Source organism: Homo sapiens, chromosome 4 (genome assembly GCF_000001405.40).
Source record: "Homo sapiens chromosome 4, GRCh38.p14 Primary Assembly".
Classification (NCBI taxonomy): domain Eukaryota; kingdom Metazoa; phylum Chordata; class Mammalia; order Primates; family Hominidae; genus Homo; species Homo sapiens.
Window position 1 is genome coordinate 25,423,812 of NC_000004.12, and position 18,004 is coordinate 25,441,815.

The 18,004-nt window shown below is 45.7% G+C and overlaps 1 long non-coding RNA gene across 2 annotated transcripts in view, besides 1 other annotated feature; it reads left to right on the forward strand.

Annotated features, from left to right (window-relative positions):
- Window positions 1–653: 653 nt before the first annotated feature.
- Window positions 654–18,004, forward strand: part of LOC105374536 (uncharacterized) — a 44,163-nt gene continuing 26,812 nt past the window's right edge. For both annotated transcript variants that reach the window (XR_925494.3, XR_007058090.1), the window contains exons 1-2: window positions 654–1,694; window positions 17,719–17,935. This is a non-coding gene — a long non-coding RNA (uncharacterized LOC105374536). The remainder of the gene's footprint in view (window positions 1,695–17,718; window positions 17,936–18,004) is intronic.
- Window positions 17,870–17,979: a silencer, noted in NCBI's record as "silent region_15325". NCBI's record gives its function as "represses an Ori minimal core promoter by ATAC-STARR-seq in GM12878 lymphoblastoid cells {active_cell/tissue: GM12878}" and the evidence as "EXISTENCE:reporter gene assay evidence [ECO:0000049][PMID:35858748]".

Sequence of the window (18,004 nt, forward strand, 5' to 3'; positions counted from 1 at the left end):
GCTGGTAAAGTTGCAAAAGCAGATGGAGATGGTAACAGTGAGTTGGGTCCTGAGGTCACCCGTGAATGAGGAGGTATCAGTGGGGTATTGAGAGCAGAAGGAAAAACTGCTTCTGAGACTCTTGCTACCTTGAAAGACCCAGAGGAGGGTCAGGCACCTACCTAGTCAGTTAGTAGCAAGGCTGGGATCTAAGCCCAGGGGGACTGGACTGCCCTGGAGGAGCTCCTAACAGACACCTGTGGTTAGAAAGGACATGAGAACAGGATAAAAAGACTAAGCCAACCTGTAAGCATGGCCACTGCCTTTGAATCTCTGTCTACTGTAGGTTAGTGCTCCTCACACCTGGGAGGTAAGATTAAGGGCTCTAATGGTGGTGGACTTTTTAATTTAATTTAATTTTATTTTATTTTATTTTAGACACGATCTTGCTCTGTTACCCAGGCTTCAGGCTAAAGTGTAGTGGCATAAACATGGCTCACTGCAGACTTGATCTCCTGGGCTCAAGCAATCCTCCCGAGTAGCTCAGATTAACAGCACATGCCACCACGCCTGGCTAATTTTTTTTTTTTTTGTAATGACGGGGTCTTGCCATGTTACCCAGATTGGTTTTGAAACCCTGGGCTCAAGCAGTCCTCCCACCTCAGCCTCCCAAAGTGCTTGGACTACAGGTGTGAGCCACCATACCTGGCCTTCTTTCTTCTTTTCTTTTTAACCCCAAGGCAGGGAGAAGTGGTCATTTCCGATTATTTTAAATCTGGAACCAGTAGCAATCCCCAGGTGTTTTAGGAAGGGGGTCTTTGTGGTTGCTGTCCTGCCTAATTTTGTCTTTAGTGCACTGTTGGTTACAGACACAATTATGTGTGTGGCACAGGGAGGAGAGGGCCCAAGATGACTGCGTGGAGAGTGGGCCTGAGCAAGCGCCTGCTCAAAGTCCAGGTCAGGAGGCTGGGTGAGGCGGGATGAACTGAACAGTCAGTTTGTTGCCCTGTGAAGGTGCAGTCCAGGGCCTTCCTAGCTCTGGGCCAATGTGGTCCATATCGCCAAACCTTTCCTGGGTGGTCTGAAGATTTTCTTAAGGGGAACTAACTGCCCAGTCCAGGCACCTCTGGCCATTTGGGGAATGAGGCAGGCAAGTCTCGGCTTGGCCTCAGTTCCCAGGCCCCTAGGAATTGGCACTGGGCTTCAGCTCGCTACTTAGCAGATCCAGTAGGGCCTAGACCCAGCTGGACCTGGGAGCCTCTGGAGCTGCCAAATTGTACATGAAATTCCTGTGTGCTTGGCCGGACAAGAGGTTCATGATCGAAGGGTTACTGCCTGCACCTGCCTCTGTCCCTCCCCCAGATTTTTCCTGTCTGCATTTGGCTTTTTAAGGTTCTCCTATGCAGAATTGGCTGTGGAAGAGAAATAGCATGGGAGAGATTGCAAGGTGCTTTTTATATACATTCTCACAGAATTCTCTAAACAACTAACTCTGCAATAAAGGGATTGCTCATCTTATTTTACAGAAAAGTTGAGAGAGATTTGGTTTGACGTGTCCCAAATCACGCAGCTAGTAGGCGGAACGGCCTGGATGCAAAACAGGTGGTCTGACTCCAGATAAGAATAATTGCTAACATGATTATTTAGTAAGAGTCAGAAATCATGCCAAGAACATTCCATGGATACTTACCTAAACATCATCACAGTCCTACAAGGTAAGTGCTATTATTATTAGCATCATTTCACAGATGAAGGACTTGAGGCCAAGAGATGTTTACTAAGTTGTCCACAGGAATTACACGGGCAGCAGGGTGGGACTGGGATGGGAAACCAGGCAGTCTGGCCACAGGACCCATTCCTTCAGCCACTGCACATGTTTCCTTTCTGGGGCCTGGATCCTTTGGCCCCTCCTGCCTTGCCCATGGCTGCACTCACAGAGCTCGGTCTTCCTGCAGTGGCACAACTACTTGAGTGTCTGTGTGGCACAGGCCAGCAAGGATGGCCAGGCTTGCATTCGTGATGAGCTTTGTTTTTCTCAGAGGTCCTTCATTCATAGCCACCATCGGCTCTGCGGAAACAGGCTGTGAGGAATGATGTCTGGTAGACCTTGGACCAGAACCTGGGCTTCTGACCCCGTAGTTTAGTGTGCTTTCCTCCAAGACAGTGCTTGTACAAAGCCAGTGTTACTTATGCATCCTTTGTCACCTTAAGAGAGTTTTTTTTTTTAAGACAGTCTCACTTTGTCACCAGGCTGGAGTGCAGTGGCACAATCTCAGCTCACTACAACATCTGCCTCCTGGGTTCAAGGGATTCTTGTGCCTCAGTCTCCCAAGTAGCTGGGATTACAGGTGCCCGTGACCACACCCAGCTAATTTTTGTGTTTTTGTTAGAGATGGGGTTTCACTGTGTTGGCCAGGCTGGACACCTTAAGAGATCTCTTGTGTGTCTTCAGGCTTCGCGGAGACAGAGCTGTACTCTCCCCAGAGAGGCTACCAGCTTACCAGGCTAAAAGAAGGGAGATTTCCCACTCTGTGTGTGTGTGTGTGTGTGTGTGTGTGTGTGTGTGTGTGTGTGTGTATTTATATATGTATTAGGGTCTTACTCTGTTACCCAGGCATGATCACAGCTCACTGCAGCATCCACCTCAGCCTCCTGAGTAGCTGGGACTACAGGTGTGTGTCACTATGTCCGGCTAATTTTTTAAAAAAAATTTTTAGAGATAGGGTCTTGCTTGTTACCTAGGATGGTCTTGAACTCATGGACTCAAGCAATCCTCCCACCTTGGCCTCCCAAAGTGCTGGGATTACAAGTGAGAGCCACCACACCCAGCCTCCTACTGTATTTTTGCCATGTTTTCTGTCCCCTTTCCCAATTTTTTGGGATTATTTTGCATTTTGTTGGTCTACAGACTTCCATTGGGTAAAGCATTCAGGGGAGATGGTGTGCTTGGGGAGAGGGAGAGAAATTATCTCAAGAATGAATACATGGGTGAAACAGATGGCAAATTTGTCGTTTGCAATAGAGAAACTATTAAAAAATCAGAGAATGCTAAGTCCTGAACACTTTGAGGAATACTGTATGACTCTCTGAAATACCAGCAAAGCACACATTTGGTCCATTAATTGGGATCTAGGAACTATGATAATGCAGTGTCAAGAAAATAAGTGTTTTTATACCAAATAGAGCATCACAAGCCAAATATCCTATTTATCCATCCAAGATATAAAAGGGACTTGATGGGGTGAGACAGTCTTGGGATGGAATAGGAAATGTAATAATTTAGTTTCCATTTGAGAGATGGAAATTGAAGGAGCAAATTTACAAGTCAACTTAGCAATGCAGTTAAAACATGAGCCTTAGATCTTTCAAGTTTCTAGTCCAGTACTTTTCACTCCCTATAAAGTGTCAAAGTTATTGCAAGGGCCCATTTATGTTTAATTAAATGTAATGCTAATCTACAACTAGATTTGCTCTGGTCTAGGCAATTGGCAAGTGATACAAACTACCTAGTCCATTGCATTTCCAGAAGCCGAGGGATGGCTGATGGCTTACTGCCAGAAAGTGGTTGAGTAGATGACATTATGCAAATCTTTACAAAAGAAAAGATTCACGTTCTCTGGGTTGAAACAAGACAGAAGTGTATGAAATGTGTCCACCTAAACTAGAATAAAGATTTGTCATTGCCTTCCTTCTGTCTGCCCTAGAGTCCAATTCAAATGCTTTTCCACAGCCTCCCTTCACTCCTCCAACCACCTCCCGACTTCAGCCCCTGACTAGCTGTCATCTGTGCCTCAATGGAGTTCTCACGTAACCCACGTGTTCATTGAGTCCTGACCATGGTGAGGTCCTTGGCTAAATACACTCCAGGTTTACTACTTGTTTAGCTGCTCCCACCCCACCACCCATAAGGAAGAAAGCATTATTGATCCTTTTGTGCAGAGGAGGACAAAGAGGCACAGAGAAGTTAGGTATCTTGCCCAAGGTCACACAGCTAGGGAGGAGTGGGGTCCAAATTCTCAGTCATATGCTGTACATTTCTGACATCTACCACCTGCTCCCTTTAATTATAGATAATGCACATTTCCCTTTTGGCAGGCGAACTCCTTAAGTTGAGGGCAGGCACCCCAAGGTGCCTGGTTATGGATCCTCGCTAATATCTCTGCCCTATGGGCAGCCCTGCTCCTGAAATTGATGAGGTGTGTATACCCTGCGTCCTGTTTGGAGGTTCTAGTGCCCCCTGCTGCCTAAGAAATCTACCTTTATCCCCCAGCCGGCTAATGCCACAGCCTCCCCAGCCCTTAGCGTCAGGTCAGCAGAGCTGAGCCACCCAAGGTAGGAGAGAACTGCTCCCCACAGCTTTGACCACATGGGATTCTGAGGGTACTTTGTGGGAGAAGCTGGTGGCAGGTTTCAAAGTGGTGGAAGTGGAGAATGCCTCAATCCAGGAAGCCCAGGCAAAGCACAGGCTTCCTGGCTGAGTCTGGGGGTTGCCGGGCATTACTCCGCCAGACCCAGTGGTACGGGTCTGGGCGTGGATCTAGGAAGGTGTACATCCCAAAGGGAGGCTGTCTGGGAGGCTCCCCATCAGGAGACTGGGATTCCAGAGGTCTTGGCTTGCAAAGTTGGAGGGTGGTTGGAACCTTCTGCAGAGGGCAGCATTTTGCTTGTTTGTGCTGTTCATTGTAGGGCCAGCTTCTTGGATGGCAGATCTGTACAATCATGCAGGGCCCCGGGCTTTGAGGGCCCATGTCTGAGGGCCTGTATTAGTCCCTACATACCCGAGACTGGGCAATTTACAAAAGAAAGAGGTTTAATTGGACTTACAGTTCCACATGGTTGGGGAGATCTCACAATCATGGCAGAAGGCAGGAGGAGCAAGTCACATCTTACATGGGTGGTGGAAGGCAAAAAAAAAAAAAAAAGAGATTGTGCAGAGAAACTCGTTTTTTAAAACCATCAGATTCTCATGAGACCCATTCACTATCATGAGAACAGCACAGGGAAGACCCGCCTCCATGATTCAGTCATCTTCCCCCGGGTCCCTCCCACAACACATGGGAATTATGGGAGCCACAAGATGAGATTTGGGTGGGGACACAGAGCCAAACCATAGCAGGGCCTATGCTTGGTTAAATGCTCTTTGGAAATAAATGAAGACCAAGTGAGAATAGGCCAGGGCTCTTTATTCAGGGCTTGCTGTATAGCAAGAGACAGCCACCACCATTTGCATTTGGCAGAGACTCAAAGGCAAGCAGAGGAGTGGGGAAGCTTTACAGGGGAAGGGGAAAGGCTTCGGATGTGCCCTGATGGGAGGCTGTTTGCCTGGGGAAGCTGGAGGCTTCTAACTAGAAGTGGGGCCTCTTATATAACTGTTTCAGGGTGTGTAATTGGCTTTTTTTCAAGTTGGTCTTAAGTTGAAAGCAGGGACAAAATTTAGGGAAGGCTGGGTGCCGTGACTCATGCTTGTAATCCCAATACTTTGAGAGGCTGAGGCAGGAGGATCATTTGAGGCCAGCAGTTCGTGACCAGCCTAGGCAACATAGACTGTATCTCTACAAAAAGTTGAAAACATTAGCCGAGTGTGGTGGCACGTGCCAATAGTCCCAGGTACTCAGTGATCACACAACCTGCACTCTAGCCTGGGCGACAGAGAGAGACTTTGTGTAAAATAAAATAAAATAAAGGAAGCTGTCAGTTTTTGGTTTTTTGTTTTTGTTTTTTTGAGACAGAGTTTCGCTCTTGTCCCACAGGCTGGAGTGCAATGGTGGGATCTCGCCTCACTGCAACCTCCACCTCCCGGGTTCAAGCGATTCTCCTGCCTCAGCCTCCCAAGTAGTTGGGATTACAGGTGCCTGCCACCACGACTGGCTAATTTTTGTATTTTTAGTAGAGATGGGGTTTTGCTATGTTGGCCAGGCTGGTCTTGAACTCCTGACCTCAGGTATTCCGCCCGCCTCGGCCTCCCAAAGTGCTGTGATTACAGACGTGAGCCACCGCGCCTGACGAAGCTCTCAGTTGTTAAAGTCATGGATGTTATGGGTTGATCATTACAGAAGCCGTTTAGCTTCCTAGGTTGTTACTAGAGGTAACAGTCTGACTTCCTAAAGAATGACATATAGCAGGCTGGCTTCCTGGGCTGATTACTGTAGATAAAGCATTGGTTTCCTGGGCAAGTTGTGAATCAAACCTCTGTTTTTACGTAAGATCTGACCATTGTCCATTTGTATACTCAGTGTATACTCAGTATCACTCTGCTGTCACCGTCTTGAAATTCTAAACAAGAGGCCCTGCATTTTCATTTTAAGCTGGGCCCTGTGAATGACAGCCATTCCTGGGCTGACCTTGGCACTGATAAACAAGGAAACTTCCCTGACACTGTGGCTTTGGGCAGACGCCTGATCCGCCTGCAGTTCTCAAGCTTTTACTTAGAATGGTAGATTATTTGTCACCAAGTACCGAGGGCCTCCTAGCTGCACCGAGATGCACCTCCAGGGCAGACAGGGGCTGTATTTCCTCCATCTGGGCATGGCCAGGGCCTTCTGGGCAGTGTGGGGACTCAGAGAGTGCAGGTTGAAGCCAACGTCTATCTTGGGCCAAATCGCACTAATTCAGATCCGATTCATTTTACATAGGGAAGTTTTGATTTATTTTTGAAAAAATAAAAAAGGATTTGCTAATCAGATGTACTGTGCGAAAAGTTTTCAGGGACGAGCAATATTTAATGTCAAGAGCAAAACTTTCCAGGACCTGCAGAGCACCGTGTGACACAAACCCATCACCTCTTAAGTACAAAAATCTAATTTCAGTGCATTCTTTGCTGTTAATGAAGTGGCTCTTCAGCCCTCTACTTGGAAACAGCCTGGTCAAGGCACCCCAAAATACTCAAAAGCAAGAAAACCAAATCCTTTTATGGTGATTTGCTAATTGGGGTCCCTGCAAAAAGCAGCAGAGCTTTTGCAGCCCACAGACTGAAGTGCTTCTGTTTTTCTCATTGCTTCCCTAGGCTTCCCAAGTCAATCTAGCACGTGTGGGTGCCCAGCCTTCCCTGCAGCGCTTGCTCCCTCCCTTCCCTCCTCTGGGCCAGTCCCTTGGCCAGTGCATGCCACCTCCCCGCTCTAAGGCTACTGCTCTACCCCACACCCCAGCCCCAACCAAAAGCTCTGGAGACAGACGCAGCAGGTTCTGGGGCCACTTAGCAGCTGTGAGACCTTAACCAGGCTGCTTAATGTTTCCGAGTCTGATTTTCCTCATCTGTGAGATGGCGACAGTGATCCTACCCTGTGTAGCATCCAGGTGAGAGCGAAATGAGATGATAATGAGATAATGAGATCATGTTTGTGTAACATGTGCTGGCCCAGATTCACATTCAGGAACTCAGCTGATGCTCTCACTTGCTTACCTAGTTAGCTCCACATAGGCATCCTCACATCCCATTGCTTTGGTTAAGTTTTTCTGGTCAAAGCAAGTTTCCATCTTGAACTATCATCTCTGCCATCAGCTCTCGCTTTGCATCGCCTCCAAACTCTCAAAGGATGAACAATTTTCTCCATGGAGTGTATTCAAGAGAATATTCCCCAGGGGTCATTGGCAGCTGCCAAGGATGTCTTTCCCCAACTTTTGGAAAAACAGTAATATTGGCTGGTGTAAGTGTGTGGCCTCCCAAGGTGGCTGTTTGCAAGGGGAAGGGCTCACTGGCAGGCACAGTTCTGAAGGAGTGTTTTGGATGAAGTCCCTTTGCTGTCTAGTGGCAGCTGTAAGGCAGAGTGTTGGGGAATGGCCATGGGCACAATAGATGGTGCCAAGCACTAACCAGCAGCCATGTGCACTGCACCTCTCTCTGCCCCCTGGTGTCTTTCCTGCCAGGAAGCGTCATGCTGCCATCAGTTTGAAGACCCTTGCACCTGGCTGGCACCCATATGGGTGATGCATGGGACAATGCGGTCACGCCACTTTGGCAAACACTTGGTGCTCACCTTGGTTCACAGTGGCCAGAGAAAAAACAATAAGTGCTCACTAAATGCTTTTGCCTGGCATAAGCCACTGCACCTGGCCCTGGAATGTAATTTTTTAATAGTAGCTGTATTTAATGACTTAGTTGCAAAATATCTGAAAATTTAAAAAGTGACTCTAGGAGGCTGGGCACGGTGGCTCACGCCTGTCATCCCAGCAGTTTGGGAGGCTGAGGCAGGTGGATCATATGAGGCCAAAAGTTCGAGACCAGCCTGGCCAATATGGTGAAACACCATCTCTACGAAAAATACAAAAAATTAGCTGGGCATGGTAGTGGGTGCCTGTAATCCCAGCTACTGAGAGGCTGAGGCAGGAGAATCGCTTGAACTCGAGGCAGAGGTTGTAGTGAGTAAAGATTGCACCATTGTACTCCAGCCTGGGCAACAAGAGCAAAACTCAATCTCAAAAACAAAAAGAAAAAAGTGACTCTAGGAGCCAAAACAGGACAGCTTCACTTTCCTACTGGAACTTATGCCCTTCAGTTCTGGAGATTTTTTATTATTATTATTATTTTCTTCTTTGTTTTCTCTGCTCTTTGGAATTTGTGTGAACTGATTGTCTTTTTAAATAATCTTTTCTCTCCTATTTTTGCTCTATTTGCCTTTTCATTATATTTTCTGAAAGATTTCCTCACCTTTTATCTTCTAACCCTTTAATTTTCATTTGTTCTAGCATATTTTAATTTTCTAGCTTTTCCTTGTTCCTTGATTACCATTACTATTTTCCTCTTCCTTCTTGTAGATCTTGTTCTTGTTTCATGGATACAATATCTTGTCTCATATTCCTAAAAATACGGGGGATTGGTTTGTGTGTGTGCTGTGTTTAGTTTTTATTTTCATTCATCGCCAGGTTCCTCCAAGTTGTTTTGCTTTTCATGTAAGAAATTTACTTCAGATATCTAGTGATATTTGCTCATTTTTAAGAGGCAAGTACAACGAATCTGACTGGGATATTCTTTGCATGCAAAGAGGCTTGTTGTCTTTGGGCCTCACTGTAGCATAATCTGGCTGGACCATTATTGTTGGGAAAGTCCTTTATCAGTTAGCTATTGCTGTGTAACAAACAGCTCCAAGCCTTAGTGGGTCCAAACAAGAACTGCTTATTATTTCTTAAGTCTATAGGTAGGTTGGGTGGCTTGTGACCTGGCCCACACATGTCTAATTTCAGCTGGGCTCATTCATGTGTTGGCTATCAGGTGCTGGCTAGCTGGGGCCTGGGTGTTCTAGGATGGCCTTGCCTAGGACATCTTGGCTTTGTTCTATTTGGCCTTGTGGATTTATGTACTTTAAAAAAATCCTCATACCCTCATTTTAGTGAGATTTTACACAAGGTAGAGGTAAATACGTATGCCTAATCTGCCATTACAATTAACTAGAAGTCTTGCAATTACTTTTTTCTTTTTTTCCTTATTACAACAAGCAGGGAGGAACTGGCTGGTTGAAGAAATTAAAAGGAGAACTGTGTGGTTGGAGGCAGAAGTGTAGGAGGAGAGTGGTGTGTGATGAGGTAGGCAAGGGCTAGATCATGCAGCACTTTGCAGCCAGGTTGAGGATTTTGTATTTTCCTTTTTTTTTTTTTTTGAGACAGAGTCTTGCTCTGTCACCCAGCTGGAGTGCAGTGGCACGATCTCGGCTCACCGCAACCTCTGCCTCCTGGGCTCAAGCTATTCTCCTGCCTCAGCCTCCCGAGTAGCTGGGATTACAGGCACACACCACCGTGCCTGGCTAATTTTTGCATTTTTAGTAAAGGTGGGGTTTTGCCATTTTGGCCAGGCTGGTCTTAAACTCCCGACCTCAGTTGATCCACCCGCCTCGGCCTCCCAAAGTGGTGGGATTACCAGTGTGAGCCACCATGCCTGGCCTGTATTTTCCTTTAAGGGCATTAGAAAGCTATTGAAGCAGTTTATGAGGAGCAGAGAGATGATCAGATCAGCATTCTCTAGAGACCTCTGGGCCTGCTGTGAAGACTAAATTGGGAGAGTCATGAGCAGATATGGAGACACCCGTTAGAAGCTATTGTAAGAGTCTAGCCAACAGATGGTGGCTTGGTCTCAGGTGAAGGAGGGAGCAGAATTGAACAGGGGATTGGGTAAGGAGGTTGGGGGAGAGAGATTTCTATGGCTCACAGGTTGGGAGAGGTTGGCAGGATAGTGGACAGAGATTTGTTTTGTTTAGTAGTGGGGATGGGGACAGAAAAATATCCAGCTTGAATGTGGACACATTGAATTGGAGGTGGCTTTGATATATCCAAGGGTAGGCGTCTGCTCTATGGGGGCACAATAAGACGGATCTAAATTGGGATCTAAATTTGGAAATCAGCCTGAATGTGATGAGGTCTCCTGACGAGAGAGCAGAGAGTAGTAAGAGAACACAGGGCCTTTGTGGAACTGACCATAGGCCTCCCAGGTGCAGGACTCTGGAAAAGGAATGAGCCCTGGAGAGAAAACCCAGAAGGGGCAGCTGGGGAGGGAGGAGGAAGCCTGGAGCATGGGTGTCAGAGAAGCCGGACACAGGGTTTTCAACGAGACCCTGAGAGGCCCAGCAAGATGGGAGAGAAAACTCCCCAGGGGGTAATCCCATCGGGCTGGTTGTGGCTCATCATTTAAACCCAAGTCTCTGCCTCTAGCCATGATATGACTGTCAAGCTCACCCTCCCAAGTCGCAGTATTTCTATGTCAGCCTGCATCTTGCTTTCATGTGCCTCAGGCTCTTCTGGGTCATTAAGACTTACCAGCACCAACTGTGTGCAGACACTGCAGCCTTCATTATGCCATCATTGTGCTGCTGCTGACACTATTTTGGGACTGTGTCTCCTGTGACAGTCACAGTGCCAGGCACTTTGTGAACACCGTCTTGACGCCTTGCTTCAATACTATGATCACCATTTCACAGCTGAGTAAACTGAGGCTGAGTGGAAAACTGACTTGCCCGACGTCACACGACTGGTGAGAGGTTCTGCGGGATCCCTAGGCATCCGAACAACCTGAGTGTCCTTTTTAATACCACATTGCCATTAGTGATGACAATGGAGTCTCACTCCAGCGGAGTATCTCAGTATTGCTGCATTGATCACAGTGCCTAATATTTTCTGTCCAGCTTTTAGAGGAAATGTCTCATGCTTTGCATTCTCAGGCCTGCTGGAACTCTGCAGGGGTTTGTCACAAGGCTAAGCAGTCATGGGTCTTTGGGTTTTGAGGCTGAGCTAAAGAGAACCTTTGACTCTCCCTTTCCTTCCACTTCCTTTCCCAGCTATAGTCACAAGATTCTCATTGTCCATTCCCCTCCCACCCCCCAAAAAAGCTGAATAAAAACAGTAGGCCTCAGGGCCGGGTGCAGTGGCTCATGCCTGTAATCCCAGCACTTTGGGAGGCCAAATTGAGTGGATCACCTGAGGTCAGGAGTTCAAGACCAGCCTGGCCAACATGCTGAAACCCCATCTCTACTAAAAATACAAAAATTAGCTGGGTGTGGTGGCAGGTGTCTGTAGTTCTAGCTACTTGGGAGGATGAGCCACAAGAATCACTTGAACCTGGGAGGCGGAGGTTGCAGTGAGCCCAGCTCACATCACTGCACTCCAGCCTGGGGGACACAGCAAGACTCTGTCTCCAAACAAACAAACACACACAGTAGCCCTCAGGCTTGCTTTTGAAATCCCACCACCTGTGAGGCTGTGGTGCCAGGGCTGCTGCGGACCCCAACTGCTCAGATGTGAGGCCTGGCCTCTCTCCTACTTCCTGTGAGATTTTGGGTATATCGCGAAGCCTCTGCTGCTTCAACCGTGAATGCGGAAGACCAATGGATGGAATCTCATGGGTTTTTGGAGAATTACATGACATAGTGGATGTAAAAGCTTTACATAACAGATGAAGGCTCCTGGCATTCACAGAGAAAGCGCTTGGCAGTGTCAACAGCCACTGCTCCCACTTTGGGCAAGAGAATGGGCTGAGAACCCTGGCTCTAGACTGCCAGGGGTCGAGTCTCCTCTATCACACAATGCCTGGGACCTAGAGCAAGTTACTTGATTTTTCCATGCCTCAGTTTCCCCGTATGTACACTAAGGATTATAATGCTACCTGCTGCAGAAGTTTGTTGTGAATATTGAATGAGTTAAGAGATGTGACGTGCTTGTGACAGTGCTGGCATTTGCAAGACACCCCTGCGTTCGCTGTTGCTTCTATGGCAATGACATGGTTATTCTGTGCACAGGGCTTTCCTGTAGGTAGCACTCCTCTGAGTGCTGTACAGAATTAGTGGCCCTTACCTTCCCTCTCTCCAAAACTGAGCAGCTAAGATCAGATCAAGATAGGAAAGCTGTGATAGAGATGAAATGAAGGCACATGGCTAAGTCTTTTTTTATTACTTCTGTGAGGGCATAAGTACATTTAGCCAGGAGCTGTGTGATATTTATACACCTCCAAGCTAGAACTGGGTCTTCTTCCTTTCATAATTAACATTTAATTTTTTCCTAATTTTCAAAGTGATAAATATTTGTGGTAGAAAATGTGAAAAATACAGAAAAGCAAAGAACAAAATCACTCACAATCCCATTAGTTCGAGAGAACACATTTGGCTGTGTATCCGTCCAGTTTTTGTCATGTACTTATAAATATTTTAGCAACATTGAGATTATATAATACATATTATTTTGTAAGTTGCTCTTCTACTTAACAGTATATTGAAGGCTGGGAGTGGTGGCTCACGCCTGTAATCCCAGCACTTTGGGAGGCCGAGGTGGGAGGATCACTTGAGGTCAGGAGTTTGAGACCAGCCTGGCCAAAATGGTGAAACCTTGTCTCTACTAAAAATACAAAAATTAGCCAGGTGTGGTAGCAGGTGCCTGTAGTCCCAGCTACTCAGGAGGCAGAGGCTGGAGAATCACTTGAACCCAGGAGATGGAGGTTGCAGTGAGCCAGGATAGCACCACTGCACTCCAGCCTGGGCGACAGAGTGAGACTCCATCTCAAAACAAAACAAAACAAAACCAAAAAAAAAAACAAATAAACCCATAAAACAAAACAAACAAACAAGCAAAAACCCAGTATATTGTGATTTTCAGGGGACTCTTAGATATCTTTGTACCTCTTGTTTTTAGAGCACAGTTTTGCCCTCTTGCTCAAGGTTTCTCCATCTGAAGTTATTATTATAATGTTTTTACTGTTAAACTTCTTTTTCAAATAAAAGTCATTCTATTTTAGCTTCGGGAGGAAGCTGTGAAGGATTGTTACCTGGGTATATTGTGTGATGGTGGGGATTGGACTCCTAGTGTACCCATCAATCAAATAGCAGACATCGCACCCTTGAACTGTTCAAACCTCACTCCCTCCCCAGTGTCTATCATTTCCACCCTTGTGTCCATGCACACCTATTGTTTAGGTCCCACTTATAAGTGAGAACGTGTGGTATTTGATTTTCTGTTTCTGAGTTATTTCACTTAGAATAACGGCCTTCAGCCCCAACCAAGTTGCTGCAAAGGACATGATTTCATTTTTTTTTTTTTTTTTTTTTTTTGAGAAGGAGTCTGGCTCTATCGCCCAAGCTGGAGTGCAGTGGCGCAATCTCGGCTCACTGCAAACTCTGCCTCCCGGGTTCACGCCATTCTCCTCCCTCAGCCTCCCGAGTAGCTGGGACTGCAGGCGCCCGCCACCACGCCCGGCTAATTTTTTGTATTTTTAGTAGAGACGGGGTTTCACTGTGTTAGCCAGGATGGTCTTGATCTCCTGACCTCATGATCTGCCTGCCTTGGCCTCCCAAAGTGCTGGGATTACAGGCGTGAGCCACCACGCCCAGCCATGATTTCATTTTTTATGGCTGTGTAGTATTCTGTGTGTGTGTGTGTGTGTGTGTGTGTGTGTGTGTGTGTGTGTATGTCACATTTTCTTTATCCAGTCAATCACTGATGGACATGTAGGTTGGTTCCATGATTTTGCTATTGTGAATAGTGCATAAACATACAAGTGCAGGTATCTTTTGGTATAATGATTTCTTTTCCTTTAGGTAGATACTCAGTGGTGGCATTGCTGGGTTGTTCTATTTTTAGTTCTTGAGGAATCTCCATACTGTCAAACTTAAGTTATTTATGGCCTCCTTTACAGGAAACAGTTCATAGGCCCCCAAGAATCTTCCATCAATGAACATTTGGAACATCCTCAGGCCCCAGTTTGAGAAACAGTGCATTGGATAGGTTGCTAGATGGACACCAAATGAATAAATATGGGCAGCAGGCACCTGCTTTGGCAGAGACTTCTTTGGGTCTGTGAAAGTCTTCCTTTATGTTGGATGAGGCTCATAACAGTGATTGATATCTGCAGGTGCAGGCATGGTCTGGACCAACAACAGCCAGCCACATGCTGTTCCTGCTATTTGCCATCTGCACTGTGTTTTGACTCCTATTTCAACTCCTATTTGCAGTACCATAGCTGTTTCCAGCTACCAATGACTCTAGTCATCAGCCAGGCTACTCAGCCAACCTGAAAATATGCCAGATTGTCCATACATTTCCAATCCACCATGATTTTAAAAATACTCATCCTATATTTCTATTAAAATCATAGAGTTTTAAAATCTTTTTATCAAAGGATTACATACATTAAGAAAAGGAAGCAAATTGTCACAATATAGTTTGATAAATGATCATAAAGTGAAAACACCCAGGTGATCAACCCTCAGGTCAAGAAACAGAATATTATCAGGATCCCGGAAGCCCACTTTATGCCCCCCACTCAAAAGATAACTGCTATGCTGACCATATCTTACTTTCATCTGGCTTTGAACTTCCTATAAGTAGACTTATCCGCACTGTACATGTATTTTTGTGTTTGTGTGTTTACTTTCTTTCTCAACATTATTTTTGTAAGATCCATCTGTGTTGTGTGTAACAACAATCTGTTTATTCTAATTCCCTTATCATATTCCATTGTCTGAATATGCCACAATTTACTTATCTATTCTGTTGATGGGTATTGGGTTGTTTTCATTATTAGGTTATTAGGAATAAACTGCTATGACATTCTTGTACCTTTATTTTGGTTCATATGTGTAAGTATTTCTGTTGAGTATATACCTAGGAGTGGGTCATAAGGTGTATGACAACAGTTTTTTTCAAAGTGATTGCGCCATTTACACTCCCACCAGCAATGTCTGAGTGTTTCAGTTGCACCGTCTATTTGCCAAGACTTGGTATTACCTGTCTGTTTCATGTTAGCCATTCTCTTTGGTGTGCAGTGGGTTGACATTGTGGTTTTACTTGCATTTGTGTATGACTTATGAAGTTGAGCATGTTTTCATATGTTTCTTGGCCATTTGTAAATCCTTTTTTGTGAAGAGCCTATTTAAGGGTCTTGCCTGGGGAAGTAGGAAGAGGATGAAGGCTAGAGATAGGCAAAGGTAAACCAGGGAGAACTTTGGGATTCACCATTTTACTGAAAACTTTTGGTACCTGCAAGTAATGATTCTGGAGTCACTGTATGTTATTCTGGGATGTCCATAGCTGAAAAATCCCTTTGTATGACAAGATGCCTGCAGGGAGGCTCTCTATTGCTCAGGTATGCTGGAACAAGTAAGGAATATGTTAGGGAGTGTGTCCCAGCCTGGCTCACAGAAAGGCTATTGCTTTTCCTAGGCCATTTGAGTTTCTAACTCCCACCAACAGTTTTAGTAGACCTTAACCTTGCAATCAAGTTGTAGATTATAGTACTATTGAACCTACATGAATCAGCCCCTCAGGGCCAAGGTCACATATTTGATTAGAGGCAAGTCTCATTTAAGTACATTTTCTCCCCGTGTGATGTTTATGAAAATGATGAAATTCATAGCATTTTTCTACTTCTCTGTATTTCAAATCAACCATATAATTTCCCCCTTTTGAAGGCTGCTGCAATGTAAATGGAAAAGCTCATGATTTGGGCTCAGACTATACCAGTTTAACTCCCAGTGCTAAATTTAACTAGTTTTGTGATTTTGAGCAAGTCACTTTACCTTTTTGAGACTTAATCTGCTTGCCTATAAAATGGGTACATCTACCTTACAAGGATAGGATTCAGATAATTGATGCAAAAGCAAACTGTAAACCTTAGGTTACTGGACAAATCAATATTATTATTTATGTTAGTTTGGGACCTATAGAAGGAGATCTTGGAAAATTGTAGGGCTGGGAGCCAGAGGCCATGGAAGATAGGGAAGGAGGTGAAAGTGGGAAAAATTACACCCTGGAAACCCAGTGACCAAGTCTCAACTCCTGGCTGGCTTGCATCAAAAGCTGGAGCCTGAGCGTCTGTTACAAGTGAAGGAGCCAATGCAGAAATTCCTCTGACCACTAGAGGGAGCCATACCTTAGGCTGGGCATCAGATGGGCCTCTATTATCTTTAGCAAAGATCCCCATGGTGCCTGCCACTTTGATTTCACATCTGTAGGTCTGAAAAAAGCACTAAGCTTGACACTACTTCTCTTGATTTTAAAAAATTATCTTCTTCCTCAACATAACCACCACTACCATCATCATCCTAGTCTTTGCCCATCTGTCCATTAGTCTTGTTATCTCTTTGCCCTCTTTTAGGAGTGAAACAATTGCCTTTAAAATCACAATTTATAATGAGAAACGTAATTTTCTAACAATCCAGAGCCTGTGTCTACCCACCAGGATCTCTTTTCTCTTTAGTGCAATTACATGAAGTGCCAACTTTTAAATCACAAGTTGGCTGGCCGCCTACGTCCATCAGAGGACAGGCCTGCCTTGGAGGGGAGCCATGTGGCCAGGGCTGTGCAAAGCCCTTCCATTGTTGCGTTTGATTTCTTCAGAAGGGGAACACCAAGGCCATGTGAGGGTCAAGCCTGAGAAAGAATGTTTATTTTTGGAGTTTCTGATAAGACCAAAAACAGACAGAAAAAAAGAAAAAGTTGAACATTCAGCACATTCATTTTACTGATACTAATGCTGCTAACTTCTCTGGGAAAATTCAACTTAGACAACTCCGCGGTGATAAGAAAGCAGTGTCCCCACACATTTTCTCAATTCCTGGAGGAGGGCAAGGCGGAGGATGTTGCGTGTTTCTCCTAGAGGAAAAAGCTCAATCCTAGAGTCAGCTGGGTCAGCCTGAAACCTCCCCTCCCGTGGGGTTCACTCCCACCTCTGCCTGACACTCAGGTGGAGCTCTGCTAGGAAGCTGGTGGGGTCCTGGTGCCTGCTCCACTCCCTGGACTTCTGCCTGGGCTCCCACAAGCTATGAGGGAGTACTTGGGGGTCAGGAGCCTCAAGAGCATCCTGGAAAGTTTAGAAAATTTCACTTTTCAGGCCGGGCACAGTGGCTCACGCCTGTAATCCCAGCATATTGGGAGGATCACCTGGGGTCAGGAGTTCAAGATCAGCCCGGCCAACATGATGAAACCCCAATTCTATTAAAAATATAAAAATTAGTTGGGCGTGGTGGCAGGTGCCTGTAATCCCAGCTACTCAGAGGTTGGGGCAGGAGAATCACTTGAATCCAGGAGGCGGAGGTTGCAGTGAACCAAGATCATGCCACTGCACTCCAGCCTGGGTGACAGAGTCAGTGAGACTTTGCCTTAAAAAATAAAAATAAAAAAGAAAGAAAAATAAAATTTCACTTTTCTTTCATATATTCAGGCATTGCTTTAAAGATAATTAGCATTATCATTTCTGTCACTTTAAGGGTAATATTAAGAGAAATAAAACTCAGGGGGTTTGGCTGATTTCTGCTCATTGTTTCTTTTATTCAGCCAATATTCCTGGGGCATGTACCATGAACCAGGCTCTGTGCCAGCTCCCGCAGATGCAAGATGAAGACCTTGCCCTTGCCCTTGAGTGGATGGAGAGGACACAGATGGACAAGCACCTAGATGAGATGAGAGGTGTAGGGGTTGGGCTTAGCTCTGCCTGTGGGAACCTGGGCAGGCTTCATCAGGAGGTGGCGCTCAAGTCCAACTGAAAATATGGGTAAGTCATTCCCTAGACTGACAAAGTAGGAAAGGGCATTTCAGACAAAAGCACAGTGTGTGCAAAAGC